A 14,044-nucleotide genomic window follows, 5' to 3' on the forward strand; every position below is an offset into this window, starting at 1 on the left:
TGATTAAAAAGAGAGAGGATACTTTTCCTCTTATTTATTGTTACTAAATAATAACTTGTTAGTAGAATAATTCCTTGTAAATAGAATAATTGCTTAAGGCAATTCTCCAAAGTCTCCTCAACAAATAATGGTGGTTCTTGATTTAGGAGGAAAGGAAAAAACCACCTGACTGCCAGTTTGACTGAGATGCCGGCTTCCTTCAGGCCTAGCTTTGAAAATCCCACAGTTTACCAGGCTTAGAATTACAGTTTCAGCAACTTCCTCCTGACAACTGTCAATATGCCTAAGAATTATAATTTAGCCCAGGCGCGGTGACTCATACCTCTAATCTCAGCACTTTGGGAGGCCGAGGCAGGCAGATCACCTGAGGTCGAGAGTTTGAGACCAGCCTGACCAACATGGAGAAATTGTCATTGTCTTTAGTAAACTTATAGGGATTCTGGAATAGCAAAGAAGCAGACAGTTAACGGGAAGGAGAAACAAGTGATTTTTTTTTGAAAAAATTATTTACTACTTTAAAAAGGTTAAATGTAAAGTCTTTCATTAGTTTCACAAAATGTATCTTCCTCATTTGGAAAGCAACCTGTTATGCTTTGAAGAGAGTGAGCAAGTAAAAAAGGGAGATAATTGTCATATTTTCCTAAATGTGAATTAGATACTTTTGCTGTAAGTTTAGCTATGACTTTCAGGCTGCTATTACAGGATTTTCTTTGAAGAATGATACATGTCTTTGGTTGACCTTTGTAGTATCAAGTGTATCAAATTTATCTAGAATAGAGCGTATCCGTATGTGTTACCTAGAGGCTTAATAAACCTTCACATAATGAGTAATTATGTATTGGGCTAAAATCTGTAAAACCTTTTCAGATTTTCAATATGTATGCCTACTTCCTTAAATATTTGAAATTTTTAGATATTTTACTTTTCTTCTTACTGTTCTTTGGATTATGTACCTTTGGTATATAGCATAAGCTGTAGATCCTATGTGTAATTACAAAATGCATGAAGTTAATACTCCCTTTTCTCTGTTTAGCTTGTGAAAATTCAAATGATATAGAATAAAAATGTGATGGTAACTTCCTTGTGAAAGAAAACTAAGTACAAAATTCTCTTCCTCCTATTGTTAAATACAATGTGGAGAAAAAGATTTTTAATTTTTAATTTTCCACCTTCAGCTTATTATTAGCTATATACTTTTAGGCATTTCTATTTACTAGGGAAAAATTAAAAATTAAAGGACAACTTTATGTTCTTAAGATTATTTAATTTGTTGGGCACGGCGGTGGCTCACGCCTGTAATCCCAGCACTTTGGGAGGCCGAGGCGGGCGGATCACGAGGTCAGGAGATCGAGACCATCCTGGCTAACACGGTGAAACCCTTTCTCTACTAAAAATACAAAAAAATTAGCCAGGCACGGTGGTGGGTGCCTGTAGTCCCAGCTACTCGGGAGGCTGAGGCAGGAGAATGGCGTGAACCCAGGAGGCAGAGCTTGCAGTGAGCCGAGATAGCACCACTGCAGTCCGACCTGGGCGAAAGAGCGAGACTCCATCTCAAAAAAAAAAAAAAAAATATTATTGAATTGTGTGGACTCAACTATACTCCATGAAAGAATGATCTAAAACATAATGTTGGCATGACTTAACCTTTTAAAAATGGAAAGTTTAAAAAAAGGCAGAGGGAGTGTAGCTCATTAGTACCTGAAGGGACTCACTATAATATATGAAGCTGAACTTGTCACTTTGATTTCCTATTCTTTAAATATAGTATAATTGTTTAGTCTAAAGAATGTATGTTTTAATTACAAGTATATAATATTTCTACCTCCAGTGCAGCATATTAGTTAGAAATTTAAACCAGTGCATGTAACTTAATATAAATTAACTTAACCAACTTCTTGAAAGTACTCAGAAAGCCCTAAAAAATATAAAACAATGATTCCCACTGCCTACCCTGCAAAGGACCCCAATACCAAAAGGTATTATTATAGTGAGTTGAAATTTAATGGACTTTTTCTGTGGTCTATTAGAAGTCCTTTTGGATCAAAAGTTGCATTGATGCAGGATAAAATGCTTTGAGGTTTGATTAAGAGAGAGTTGGCAGTAAGAGGACCTAAATTTACTATACTAGAATGAATTTCTGATCCTTTTCTCTTATTTCCACTGACCATGAACATTTCTTGGTATTGATTTCTTCAGAATTACTTCTGTGATCTTTTGCAAAAAGAAACATTGTAGCCTGTTGACAGTAGGTTTTAGGTATGAAATGTTAAAACTTTGAAAAAAAAAAACCTGTCATTTTTTCAGACTCTGTATCTTCATATGTTGTTCTGAAAGGCTTTTGTATTTTCTGAATAACTTACATATTTTGATATGGCGTTTTACCAATAGCATTCATTTACCTATTTTTGCTTCTTGCCTATTTTCATGGACTGGTTGCCTTATCCAACTTTTTTCTTTCATTGTTTTGTTTTATTTTTATATTCGCCATTCATTCATTCATTCATTCATTCAACTTTTGGGGTTTTGTTGGTAGTTACAAATTAAATGTTTAATCTTATTATCATATAGCTTACTTTGAATAAAACATGATACATTATTAAAATTGGTATGAAGTATCACTACATTATGAAGCAGAAAATGTTTGGTACAAAACATTTTTTTCCATATTGCATGTAACAATAGGAAGATTCATATGTAAGAACAGAATTTTGTACTTAGTTTTCTTACACATAGAAGTTGCCATCGCATTTTTATTAGATATTTATGTCATAGTTGGCTCTGTGCACGAGGCTTACATAGAGAGATTAATAAAAACAATACATTGGGCTCTGTCTTCATAAGGATTAGATTTTTAAAAAATACCAATAGGGAAAGACCCAAATGTCAAATAATGGTATCTTATCCAAGTTTTGACTTTGTTTCATAACAGTCCTTGATCTAGCCTGAAATTCATGCAGCAACTAAAACCATTTTTGGAACACAAAGCTTTTCTTTATGCATCTCCTTTAGTGCTTTATAATGGACAATAAAAATAAATGAATATAACTAACATAATTTTTTACAATACTGGTGCATTAGTATTTTAAGGGGCCAGGAGATATATAGGTTGAAATGAATTATTTCAGCTAAAATTTAAGAAGTATTTAAGAGACACAGTTGGTGAAGTTTTTACATGTGAAAAGAGATATACTTTCTCTTTTATCAATTAGACAAATCTAGAATTCTTAATGTAACTGCTTTAAAGTTGGCAATAAAATGTATTTTTTAGGTATTGGAATACTGATAACTGAATTTCGAAATTATTCATGTGTATTTCACAGTAATGGTTTGGTTAATCATATGTTTAATCAGAAAAAAATCAAGTAGAACACACATCAGATTTTTCTACCATACTGTTTTTTTAAAAAATAATTTCAACTTTTATTTTAGAGTTGGGGTGCATATGCAGGTTTATTACATGGAGATAAATTGCATGTTGTGAGGGTTTGGTGTACAGATTATTTCGTCACCCAGGTAATGGACATAGTACCTGACAGGTAGTATTTTAGTCCTCACCCTCTTCCCATCCTCCCCACTCAATTAGGCCCCAGTGTTTATTGTTCCCTTCTTTGGGTCTATGTGTACTCAACGTTTACCTTCCACTTATATGTGAGAACATGTAGTATTTGGTTTTCCTGTGTTAATTCACTTAGGATAATGGCCTCCACTGCATTCATGTTGTTGCAAAGGACACGATTTTCTTCTTTTTTATTGCTGCTTAGTATTCAATGGCATATATGTACCACATTTTCTTTATCCAATCTACCATTGATGGACATCTAGGTTGATTTCATGTTTTTGCTATTGTGGATAGTGCTGTGATGAACATATGAGTGCATGCTATTTTTTATAGTCAGGAAATTGAAAGGTAATTAGAGTTCAAAATGTAAAACATTTTGATTATCACATATAAGAATTAAGACATTCTTTTGAAATAGATTACTTAGCAGTAAGTATCATTCCTTTACTTATTCATTAATTCATGAGAAGGTATTAAGCATATACAACTTGCCAAATCTTGTGTGGGGCACTTAAAAACAGAAAGATGATTAGGACACAGTACCTTCCCTCAAATAGCCACCAGGCTAGTGGGGAAAATAAATAAGTGCATAGATCTTTATGATTTAATGTGACAAATGTTGTGCTCTGTGCACCCAGAGATCAAAGACTAACTGTCCATCTTAGTAGTAGAGGGATAGGTTTGCAGTGGAAATTATTTGTGTGCTGAGTCTTAGAGGGCATTAGAGTTTCCTTCTGATGCTGGCATTAAAGGGCAGAGAATGATGTGTGTAATTGGCTATAAGATAGTATGGCGTGATGTGAGAACTCGTAGTGGTAGATTCTCCAAAGGAAATTGGGTGCTGAGAGCATCAGGATCTTTATACTGTGGTTAGATTTCTATACTTACTCTAGACATCTTTTTTGATTTTTGCATTTGCCCAAGCAGTTTAATACTATACTAAATGAATATTTGAAGAACTGAACACAGAGAATTTTAATGCAGTTTTGTCATTTATTGAGTTAACAAATACATACTGAGTGTTTACTGTGGGCTAGACATTTTGCCATCTGTTTTCATTTAAAACGTTTCCAAGTTACGTGCTAAACATTGCTGTTCAAATTCACATGTAAGAGTAAAGGAATAGAAGGTCATTATGATGCTTTAATGTGGTGGAGAAGTCAGTGATGTATCCCTAAACTCGTAGTAATATGAGGCCCAAAGTCAAGCTGGTTACTTAGAGTCAGACACTCCTTTGAGATTAGAACTAGGACCCAAGGCTTGGACTCATATTCTGTTAACCACAGTCAGAGGTATGTATGTAATCAGGTAAGAAGGAGTAATTCTAAGGAGGTCAAACATTCTTCATGCTGCATTGACATTCAGGTGCTACTTGTTAAATTTTTATTATTTTTAATAAAGGTAAATTTAAAGCGTTCTAGGATTTACTCCCCAAATTGGTACATATTAAGGGAAGTGGTGTTTAAAAGATGTACTTTTACCACAGTTGCTGGGATTAGTATTAAGTATTATTAATTATATTTCCTGATACTCTCATGCTTTCTTTTTACAGACAAATCGATGGTAAACCAGAGAAGCCTTCAGTAACATATGCAACATATCGAGGCCCAAGACACATTGGGAAATATTTAAAGCAACAGACAGGCTTGGCAACTGTGAATACCTTGGACAGAGAAAATGAAAGTTCTGACTCTAGTACAAACAGACACATTGACCCTGGAAGTGAGATTGAGGCTGGGGTACTGCCACTGTTGTTATCAGCTAGTACAGACTCATCTATGAAAGGAAATCTACTTGAAGGCCCATTAGAAGACTCTGATTGTAGCAAAACAAGTTTCAACAAGGAAAATTCTTTGACAAATAACCCAGAACTGCAGAATATTGCCTCTTCCAATAATCTTTTAAATAAAAATGCTTGGGGGAGTATTGAGAGAAATAGGTCATCCCCTTCTTCTGTGACTAACTCCAGCTACGATGGAGAATCTGACTCACAGCACCATTTAAGTTGTGAACCGGTTTCTCAGACTAACAGAAATTTGGTATGTTCAGCATTGTTAACAGGAAGTAACCATCGCAAAGTCCCTTGCAGCCCAGATTTTCAGAGAGTAACTACAACAGAAAATACGATAAAAGAAAACAGCACTGTGATGAGTAATAGGACATTGGTGCAAAGAGAGGAGCTTGTTGAGCCTCAGGGCCCTGCTATTTCTGATTTCTCTTGTAGTAAATCTGATGGGAGTGACACTACTGAGCAGGAAAGTACAAATTTGCCAAGTCCAAATAAATCAATTAGGCATGAACATCTGCAGTTGCCAGAGAGTGAGTGTTCTGACAAGCAAACCATAGATAGCTCATCAAAGCAAGCTGCCACTCACACCAATATCATTGCTCTTCAGAGACATGCTGTGACAGACACAGAATTTGTAAATGAAGGAAAGAGATTGTCTGCCCAAGACTCACAGAAAAATGTGGCTGTTAGAGAAATCAGGCGAGAAACAGAAAGTGCCTCAGCTGGTGAATCCATAGCTTCAAGTCATGTAAAAGCTCCAGAAGATAAAATTGAGTCATTACCCAAAGATACTGACCAATACTTTGAAACCAAAGCCAAAAAGCTTGATTTTAGGTCACATGATAAAATTCCTCATATTAGAATGAATAAAAAAGACCTGGCCTCTTTAAATTACATCAGTGAATCAGCAGTTGTAGCAAGCTTAGGAAATGAAAATGCACCTGAGTTGAAATTTGAACTTAATAGAAGTCACATTTCAGAAACTCCTCTTGACTCTGAGAGTCCTCAACAAGCTGAAGTATCACCTGATGCTAAAACATCTCTTAGCCTTGACTGTAAAAAACTAAATTTCAGTATTTCACCTCCTACCTTTGTTTCTGGAGTTGGGATGCTGAGCAAGTTGGATATTCCTGATTTAATGAATGAGGGTTCTCCTGTGCCCATTGAAACTGGGAATGTCAACATTGTTGGTATTTCCTATCAGCCTAGGAAGTGTAAAGAAGAAAATGTGAAAAACCATGTTGAGGCTGCAGGCAGGAAGAGTCCTCCTCCTTCCTTTTGCCTTGAATATACATCTGCAATTTTTGAATTCAAAGAAGTTCTTTCTAATAGTGAAAAATGCCAGGTTCTTCCAGGTTCTGAAGCCAGTGGCCCTCACTTAACTGGGTTGGAGCTATTGAGCTTTGACTCTGGAAACCTCTCTAAGGATTGCAGTTCCATTTTATCTCAAGACCCTAATAGAGTAGAGTTAGTGTCTTCAAACACTAAAGCAAATATGAGCATAATAGAGAAGTCTGATTCTCTTTCCTTGGAAGCCAAAACTGCTAACATTGTATCAAAAGCTGAAATTGATGGTCAGAACAATGTTCTTGTGGAGTCACATTCTGGAAGAGGAAAAACTATATCCTTGTCCAAGGTATCTCTTTCAAAAGTGGAGCCCAGAAACATTTCTCAGGATAAAATGTCTTCTTTTCCATTGAAAATTACCCATGTTCCAGAAAAGCCTATTTTGTCAGAATTAACCTTTCTAGAAGTTGAACAGGGCAAACGTTTTCAATCAATTAATCATAATGAGATAGGAGAGAAATGTTCAGATGCTGGCCTTAAAGAGAATTGCCAAGCTGAGCTTTCTCCTGCTGCCTCCAAATATGAAGATAAGCCAGAACCAGAGGTAGATGCCTTAGGCTCTCCTCCTGCTCTTCTTAAAAGTAATATATCTTGGATTTTACCACCTATTCATGATGAAAAAATCAGTAGGCAAATGGCGCAGAATTGTGAAGCTCACACTTGTGTGTTTCATCAATCTTTGGATATTTGTGGGACTAAAAAGATTTCTGGTCACTCAGAAATGGCGGAACTCAGCTTAACTAATATTTCCCCTAAATTCCAAGAAACTGGCAGCATGAAAGTAAATTCACCTTTTCTGGATTCTGATTCCAGTTTGGAAAAAAATTCTTCTGCATCTGAGGACTCAAGCTTCCTTAAAGTACCTTCTGTGCTGAAATTGGAAAAGAAATCCTCATCTTACAGAAAGAAAGAGAACATCCATTTTTTAAATGGTGGTATTGATAGTGTGTCATCTTCCTCTAGTTACCCTGAAGAAGTTAGCATGATAGTAAATTCACATAAGCCCCAAAATAATTTGGATTCTATACAAGTTACCAAAGATCTCACACATGAAGGTACCTCTGTAACTAACCTGTTGTACCCTACTACCTCTTATTTGGAATTTGAAACGTCTGTCTCAATTGGGACAGAAGTAACCCCATTTCAGGAACATTTTGGGATTTATACTGGGAAGATATCCATTGATTTCCCAACTGCTGCCCAATTTGACAATCTCGTGGAAGCAGAGACTGGAGCAGTTGCTGGGCCTGCAGCGTCAGTTAACAGCTCAGGCCAACAGTGTTCTGAAGCCTCTGCTGAGCACATAGAAGCCAGGAGAAGAGCACATGACCAACTTTTGGACCTCAAAAGTAGTTTACTCAAAAAGGCCGATACATTGATTGGTGAGATTTTTAATTCTGTCAGGGAAGAACTAAAATTCAAACACACAGTGAGTACCTGCCAGGAGCATATAGCCATAGAAGGTATAATGAATCTGGGTACCCTGAAAGAAGACATCTCTGAGAAAAACCCATCAGAAGTGACACTAACAGAAATACAACAGACAGAGGGTTTGGAAGAGCAAGGCATGGAAAACATGTCAGAAGTCAAAGAGAAGCCCTGTGTTTCACCAACAGTTGGTGAGAAGAATCTTCTTGTTGATCCTAATAGTATGAATGTATCTTGTTTGTTAGAAGATAAAGCTAGGGAATTAGTCAATGAGATTATTTATGTAGCCCAAGAAAAATTGAGAAATGATACTTTTGAAGATACTGAGGATACTTGGGATTCTGAACTTCAGGCTAATACTTCAAAAATTCTGAACAGTGATAGTGTTAAGCCACATGATGTAGTTAGAGAGTTCTTGGTTTCAGAACAGCCAGTAAATCAAAGCACACAAATTAGTGAAAATAAAGTATTAAATGAATTCTTCTCCCTAAGTAACTTAGCTAGTGGCACAGAGTCAATTAAGGGAGGAGAAATTGTTCTCTACCAAAAATCCCTATTTTCTGGAAATGGATCTGGACTGTCTGATAGTATAAATTTGCAGGAATCAGATACGGTTTTACTAGCTGAAGACATGTCACATAAACGGTTAGATGATAGGGTAAAAACACATTTATTTCGCAGTGAGGACTGTAATGAGACAATGGAAATAGAGAATGTGGATAATAACAAAACTGAGACAGAGGACAGAAGAACTCTTGTATTAAATTTCAAATGGCCTCCACTTGTGAATGATGACATCCATGCACCTGGTACATCTAAAAGCAGTTTGTCTGATAGCCTTGTATGTATATCTGAAAAAAACTTGCCAGGACACAGTAAAAACACACCTCTTGCAATGTCAGATGTAGGGAAAGTACACAAGAAGGATAATGAAATAAATATAGGGAAAATTGAACTTATACCTTCCATGTTAGAAACAGGGAAAACAAACAAAAAGGATGCTGAATTGAATATTCTGAAATATGAGGCAGTCCCTCCTATGATAGAAATGGGAAGAATACATAAAATGGATGCTGAATTGAATGTCACGAAAACTGAGCCAAAAGCTAATGTTTTTAAAATGGGAGAAGTATACCAAATGGATGCCGAGAGCTGTATTGAAAAAACTGAGGGATCAGCTGTCATTTTAGGAATGGAAAAAGCTTATAAGATGAAGGATACTGAAGGGGATATTGGCAAAATTGAGGTGATACCTATGATGCCAGAAGTGAAAAATATCCACCAAAAGGATGCTGAAGGGGATATTGTAAAGACTGAGATGACACCTGTTACAGTAGACATGGAAAATATTTACCAAACGCATGCTGAAGGGGATATTGGCAAGACTGGGACGATAGCCTTGTCAGAAGTGGAAAATATCCACCAAAAAGGTGGTGAAGGGATTAGTGAAAAGGCTGAAGTGATACCCGTTACATTAGCAATGGAAAATACTTACCAAAAGGATGCTGAAGGGGATATTGGAAAGGCTGAAGTGATGCCTGTGAGGTTAGAAATGGAAAATACTTACCCAAAGGATACTGAAAGAGACGGTGGCAAAACTGAGGTGATGCCCCTTGCATTAGAGGTAGTAAATACTTACCAAAAAAATGCCAAAGGTTTTACCGGGAACACTGAAGGGTCTGTGTTGAAAATGGAAGCTACTTACCGAAAGACTGCTGAAGAGGTCATTAAGAATACTGAAATAGTACCGTGTGTGTTAAAAGTGAAGGAAGCACACGAGACAGCACCTGCCCCCTTAGAAATGGAAAAAGCATGCAAGAGAGATGTTAAAGAGACTATTGGAGCAACTGTGTCCACACCCTCTGTGATAGAAATGGAAAAAATATCCCCAGAAGATCGTGGTGAGAATATTGGGAAACACAAAGTGTTACCCGCAGTGGTAGACATTGAGAAAATACATGGAACAGGACTAGAATTGACCACTAAACAAGGGGAGGCCATGCTTCCTGCATTTGAAAGTAAAACACCACAAGAGTATGCTGAAGGGAGTGTTGAAGAAACAAAGGAAGAGCCTACAGAAATAAAGGAAGGCTTGATAGCACATGAAAATAGACTTCCTACATATTTCAGGGGATATGAATCCCCTACATTAAGTAAGGATTATGAGGGCTACCCAGCCCCAGCAATGCCAGATTTTCAACCTGGGGATACCACAGTAAGACTAGACAAAAGAATGTCTCTTACTGCAATATATGACAAGAGGAGAGAGACAGATTATAGTGACAAAGGATATAATTTAGCTTTTGTTTCTCAAGATGAACAAGAAAATTCTTCCTTTACTATATTATACGAAGAGCCCCTTCAAGAGGAGGACAAGTATGCTTCCGCAGAAGCAAGACAAACACAGTCTGTCTTGTTTCATGATACGTCCGCTGACAGCATGCCTGTTCTGGCATGTGAAAGGTCTGAGAGTAGAACTGACCTTGTCCATCACTTTGAAAAAGGTACTAAATTAGGTGAGACATTTGATAGTGATAGTTCAGAAATGTTCTTATCAGTGGAGGCCAAAAGGTACAAAATTTATCCTTTAGCATTGTCTCCCATTTATGAGGATGACAGCTCACAGGAGGACATTCTATCTAGTGAGGTTTCACCTGGTCACCATGGCCCCAGGAAATCAAGAGACAGTGAAAACCAGTCCTCTTCTGTTTTATCCCTTCTCCAGTCAGTGTCAGAACGTTTAAAGATGAATTTTGATGAAGATGACAGAGAGGCAGCTGATGAGGAAGAAGAGGAGGAGGAGGCAGCAGTATTGCATAAAGGAGATCTGAGAGCTGGAAGTGGGGAGCGTGTTACCTTCCAGTTGCCAGATCCTTCCATCACATTTTACCCTGATGACCAGGAGAGCGTTGGAATTTCTAAGAATTCATATGTGATGCCAAATGAACCTACTACCTCCAATCTGCAAGTTGGTCTGTGGCCAGAAAAGACCTCGTTTCTCCAGAAATCTGACCTTACTTCTAAACTACATTCTTCTTTAAAGAGTGCTTATCATCAGTATCTGCAGACTTCCCAAAGTCATTCCTCAGAAAAAGGAGCCAGATTTGGTGGAATTTTTCAGGAACCAGTGTCAAAATATTTCCGTGTTCAAGACAGCCCAGGCAGATTGAGCCCATTTATAGAGGTAAGTTATTTTGTTTATTGTATTAATAATAGTTATTAAAGCTTTGGGTCACGAAATTATCTAAAGGCTTATTAAGAAAAGTCAATGTTTTGGCCAAGCATGGTGGCTCATGCCTGTAATCCTGGCACTTTGGGAGGCCGAGGCAGGTGGATCACGAGGTCAGGAGTTCAAGACCAGCCTGGCCAAGATGGTGAAACCTTGTCTCTACTAAAAATAAAAAATAATTAGCCGGGCATGGTGGCGGGCGCCTGTAATCCTAGCTACTGGGGAGGCTGAGGCAGAGAATGGCTTGAACCTGGGAGGTAGAGGTTGCAGTGAGCCAAGATCGCACCAGTGCACTCCAGTCTGGGCTATAGAGTGAGACTCCGTCTCAAACAAACAAAGCAAAAAAGAAAATGTTTTGAGGTTGTAGAAGTTGTATAAAGTTTGTTTCATAAAAATATCAGATTCTTTGGTTGAAATATATCATAACTCATGTATTTTAGCTGGACTACTTAGAAAAAAAAATTGCTTGGTCAGAATTTAAAAAGCATAATACTGAAGCAAGGTTATTTTGAAGTCTTTTGCTAATATTTTTCAAACTAAATTAAGTGACAACATTCCAAATTTCTCAAGGTACTGTATGTGGGAAAATTGTCACTTTGCATTTAGCTTATTAGTTTCATGAAAAATCTTTCTGTTAAGTAAAATTTTTAAGTATTTGACAGCAGCCTCGCACTACAACAACTCATGTTGTTCATGCAACGCAGGGCAGTGAGCAACCTAAATCAAACAAAAGAACTGAAAACTTTATAGCTGGAAAATGTTTTAAATTCAATTACAGTTTTCTTTGATTTAGAAATATTTAAATATTTAATGTAGAATGCTTATTAAATATGGGACTTTCCTTTCTGGCATTTCCAAGATCATGGTACTTTCAAGATAAAGATACAGGATGTCCAAGGCCTGTATTTTTACCTTAAACAATCTTCATGGCAAATAGTAATACTCAAAGACCAACCAAAACCTTGCAAAGCAAAGTCATTTTAAAAGAAATGATAGGATTTGAAGAAATATTTCTTTCATGGTTCTCCACTGCCTACCAAATCAAGTGGCACCTCTTAACTCTGCATTATAAGGCTCCCAAGTTCTGTTTTGCCAGCCTTGTCTCCCCACACTCTGGGTGCACACTCTGTGTTTCCTACCAGTACACTTTTCCCCAGGATGGTTCTCTTCCTAGAATTTCTTTATTCACTATCCCATCACAACCTGCCACATTTTCCACTCACTGAAATATTGTTTTTCAAGGTCCCTCAATACTACTTCCTCAGAAATGCCTCTTTGAACCTCTGTATGCCCTCACCTCCATGCTGGTGCCATTTCCATAACCTAGTGTTTTCCTTGTATTTTACCTGTGAATGTAACTTAGTCCCCTGGCTTAGTAGAGCTATGCAAATATGATCATCTGTTTGACCCATTCTAAGCTATGTACTTCTTGAGGGCAGAGACAATGTGTTAATTTCCTATATATTTGTATTTATATCACTTGTATCGAGAGAAGCACCTTGCTCATAATGATCACTAACTAAATATGTGATAAATTGGATACAAGACTGCTAAGAAAATGAATTATGCATCTTTTCACCGATGTTTCTTAAAGCTTACTTTTCCACTTTTATTATTTCAGAATGTTGACAAACAAACTCTGAGATGTAACCCAAGACCTGGGAAGGTAAGGATAACTTTCTCAAACTAAGATAAAGGTTAAACATTAGGTAACTTTCAGGCTTGAGGAATTTAATATAAGTGACTTAGATAATGATTTTATTCAAGGATTTAACATCTAAAGTAACATTTGCTTTTGTATATTTAGGATATTTATTTCTATGTTCTAGGACATTTTAGAATTTAAAATACATTCTAAAAATTAGTTATTGTAACTACTTACTGCTATTTACTGTGTTGCAGATGGTTATCTATGATCTCCATGAAAGTACATATAAACAAGAAGTCTACTGTAATATTCCTGATGCTACATCATGGTCTTTTCCAAATGGAGTTCTAATAAAAGTTGTAAGGGGCTGGTAAGAAGTTTCTTAAAATTTTATAGCATATTTTCTTAAATTAAATGTGTCTTCTTGCTGTTAATGCTTTTTTTTCTATTTTTTATTGAAGTCATATTCTCCTTCCTCTACTTTTCGACAGAAGATTTTGAAACATTATTATTAGTGTGTTATAACTTAATTGTTCTTTTTATTTACTATGGCATAAAATACAATCTGTTTTTAGTGCTTAAGCCAGTAAGTTGCAAGACCTAATCTATACAATCAATACCATTCTGTAACTACATTATTAGCAGGATAGATTTGGCAAGTTTGGGTGAATGCTTCAGTTGAATGAAGCATAGCTTTGAAAATGAGTTCAGAATTTGTGGGATGCTGAGGAATGTGAAGGCCACATAGTTAAAGTTGTTTGTATAGCTGACTTGCTCAAGAAGTGAAGGAATCTTTGTATGGTCTAAAAATGAGGGGCAACCCTATCTATTTATTATGGACCATGACCCATGGACATGCTGGAGCCAGAATTTATCTGTCCAGTGTTTAGGCTACCCAGGTCAGCATTCATGTCTTAAATCATATGGTGTAATCTCGTCTTCATATAATAAAATGGGACATGTGTCCTGTGTTATTCAGCAACAAGAAAATTAGAAGTATAATTTGGAATTGTTGCACTATTGTTTTTTATGCAACTGTATAGT

At 36.6% G+C, this 14,044-nt stretch overlaps 1 protein-coding gene and 1 long non-coding RNA gene across 7 annotated transcripts in view; one reads left to right on the top strand and one right to left on the bottom strand.

Annotated features, from left to right (window-relative positions):
• The window catches only part of LOC105373994 (uncharacterized), a 36,261-nt gene extending 29,737 nt beyond the window's left edge, over positions 1-6,524 (bottom strand). For 2 of the 4 annotated variants that reach the window (XR_001740811.2, XR_007095969.1), the window contains exon 1: positions 323-364. This is a non-coding gene — a long non-coding RNA (uncharacterized LOC105373994). Of the gene's footprint in view, positions 1-322; positions 365-6,437 lie in introns of those variants that run through there. The other 2 variants (XR_007095970.1, XR_007095971.1) reach the window with 2 other exon arrangements.
• CRYBG3 (crystallin beta-gamma domain containing 3) overlaps positions 1-14,044 on the top strand; it is a 122,974-nt gene that overhangs the window by 44,720 nt on the left and 64,210 nt on the right. For all 3 annotated transcript variants that reach the window (NM_153605.4, XM_005247117.5, XM_047447439.1), the window contains 3 exons: positions 5,112-11,307; positions 12,974-13,018; positions 13,255-13,370. In NM_153605.4, coding sequence (NP_705833.3) covers positions 5,112-11,307; positions 12,974-13,018; positions 13,255-13,370 — 6,357 coding nt within the window. The remainder of the gene's footprint in view (positions 1-5,111; positions 11,308-12,973; positions 13,019-13,254; positions 13,371-14,044) is intronic.

The sequence above is a fragment of the Homo sapiens genome, chromosome 3 (assembly GCF_000001405.40).
Source record: "Homo sapiens chromosome 3, GRCh38.p14 Primary Assembly".
NCBI lineage: Eukaryota > Metazoa > Chordata > Mammalia > Primates > Hominidae > Homo > Homo sapiens.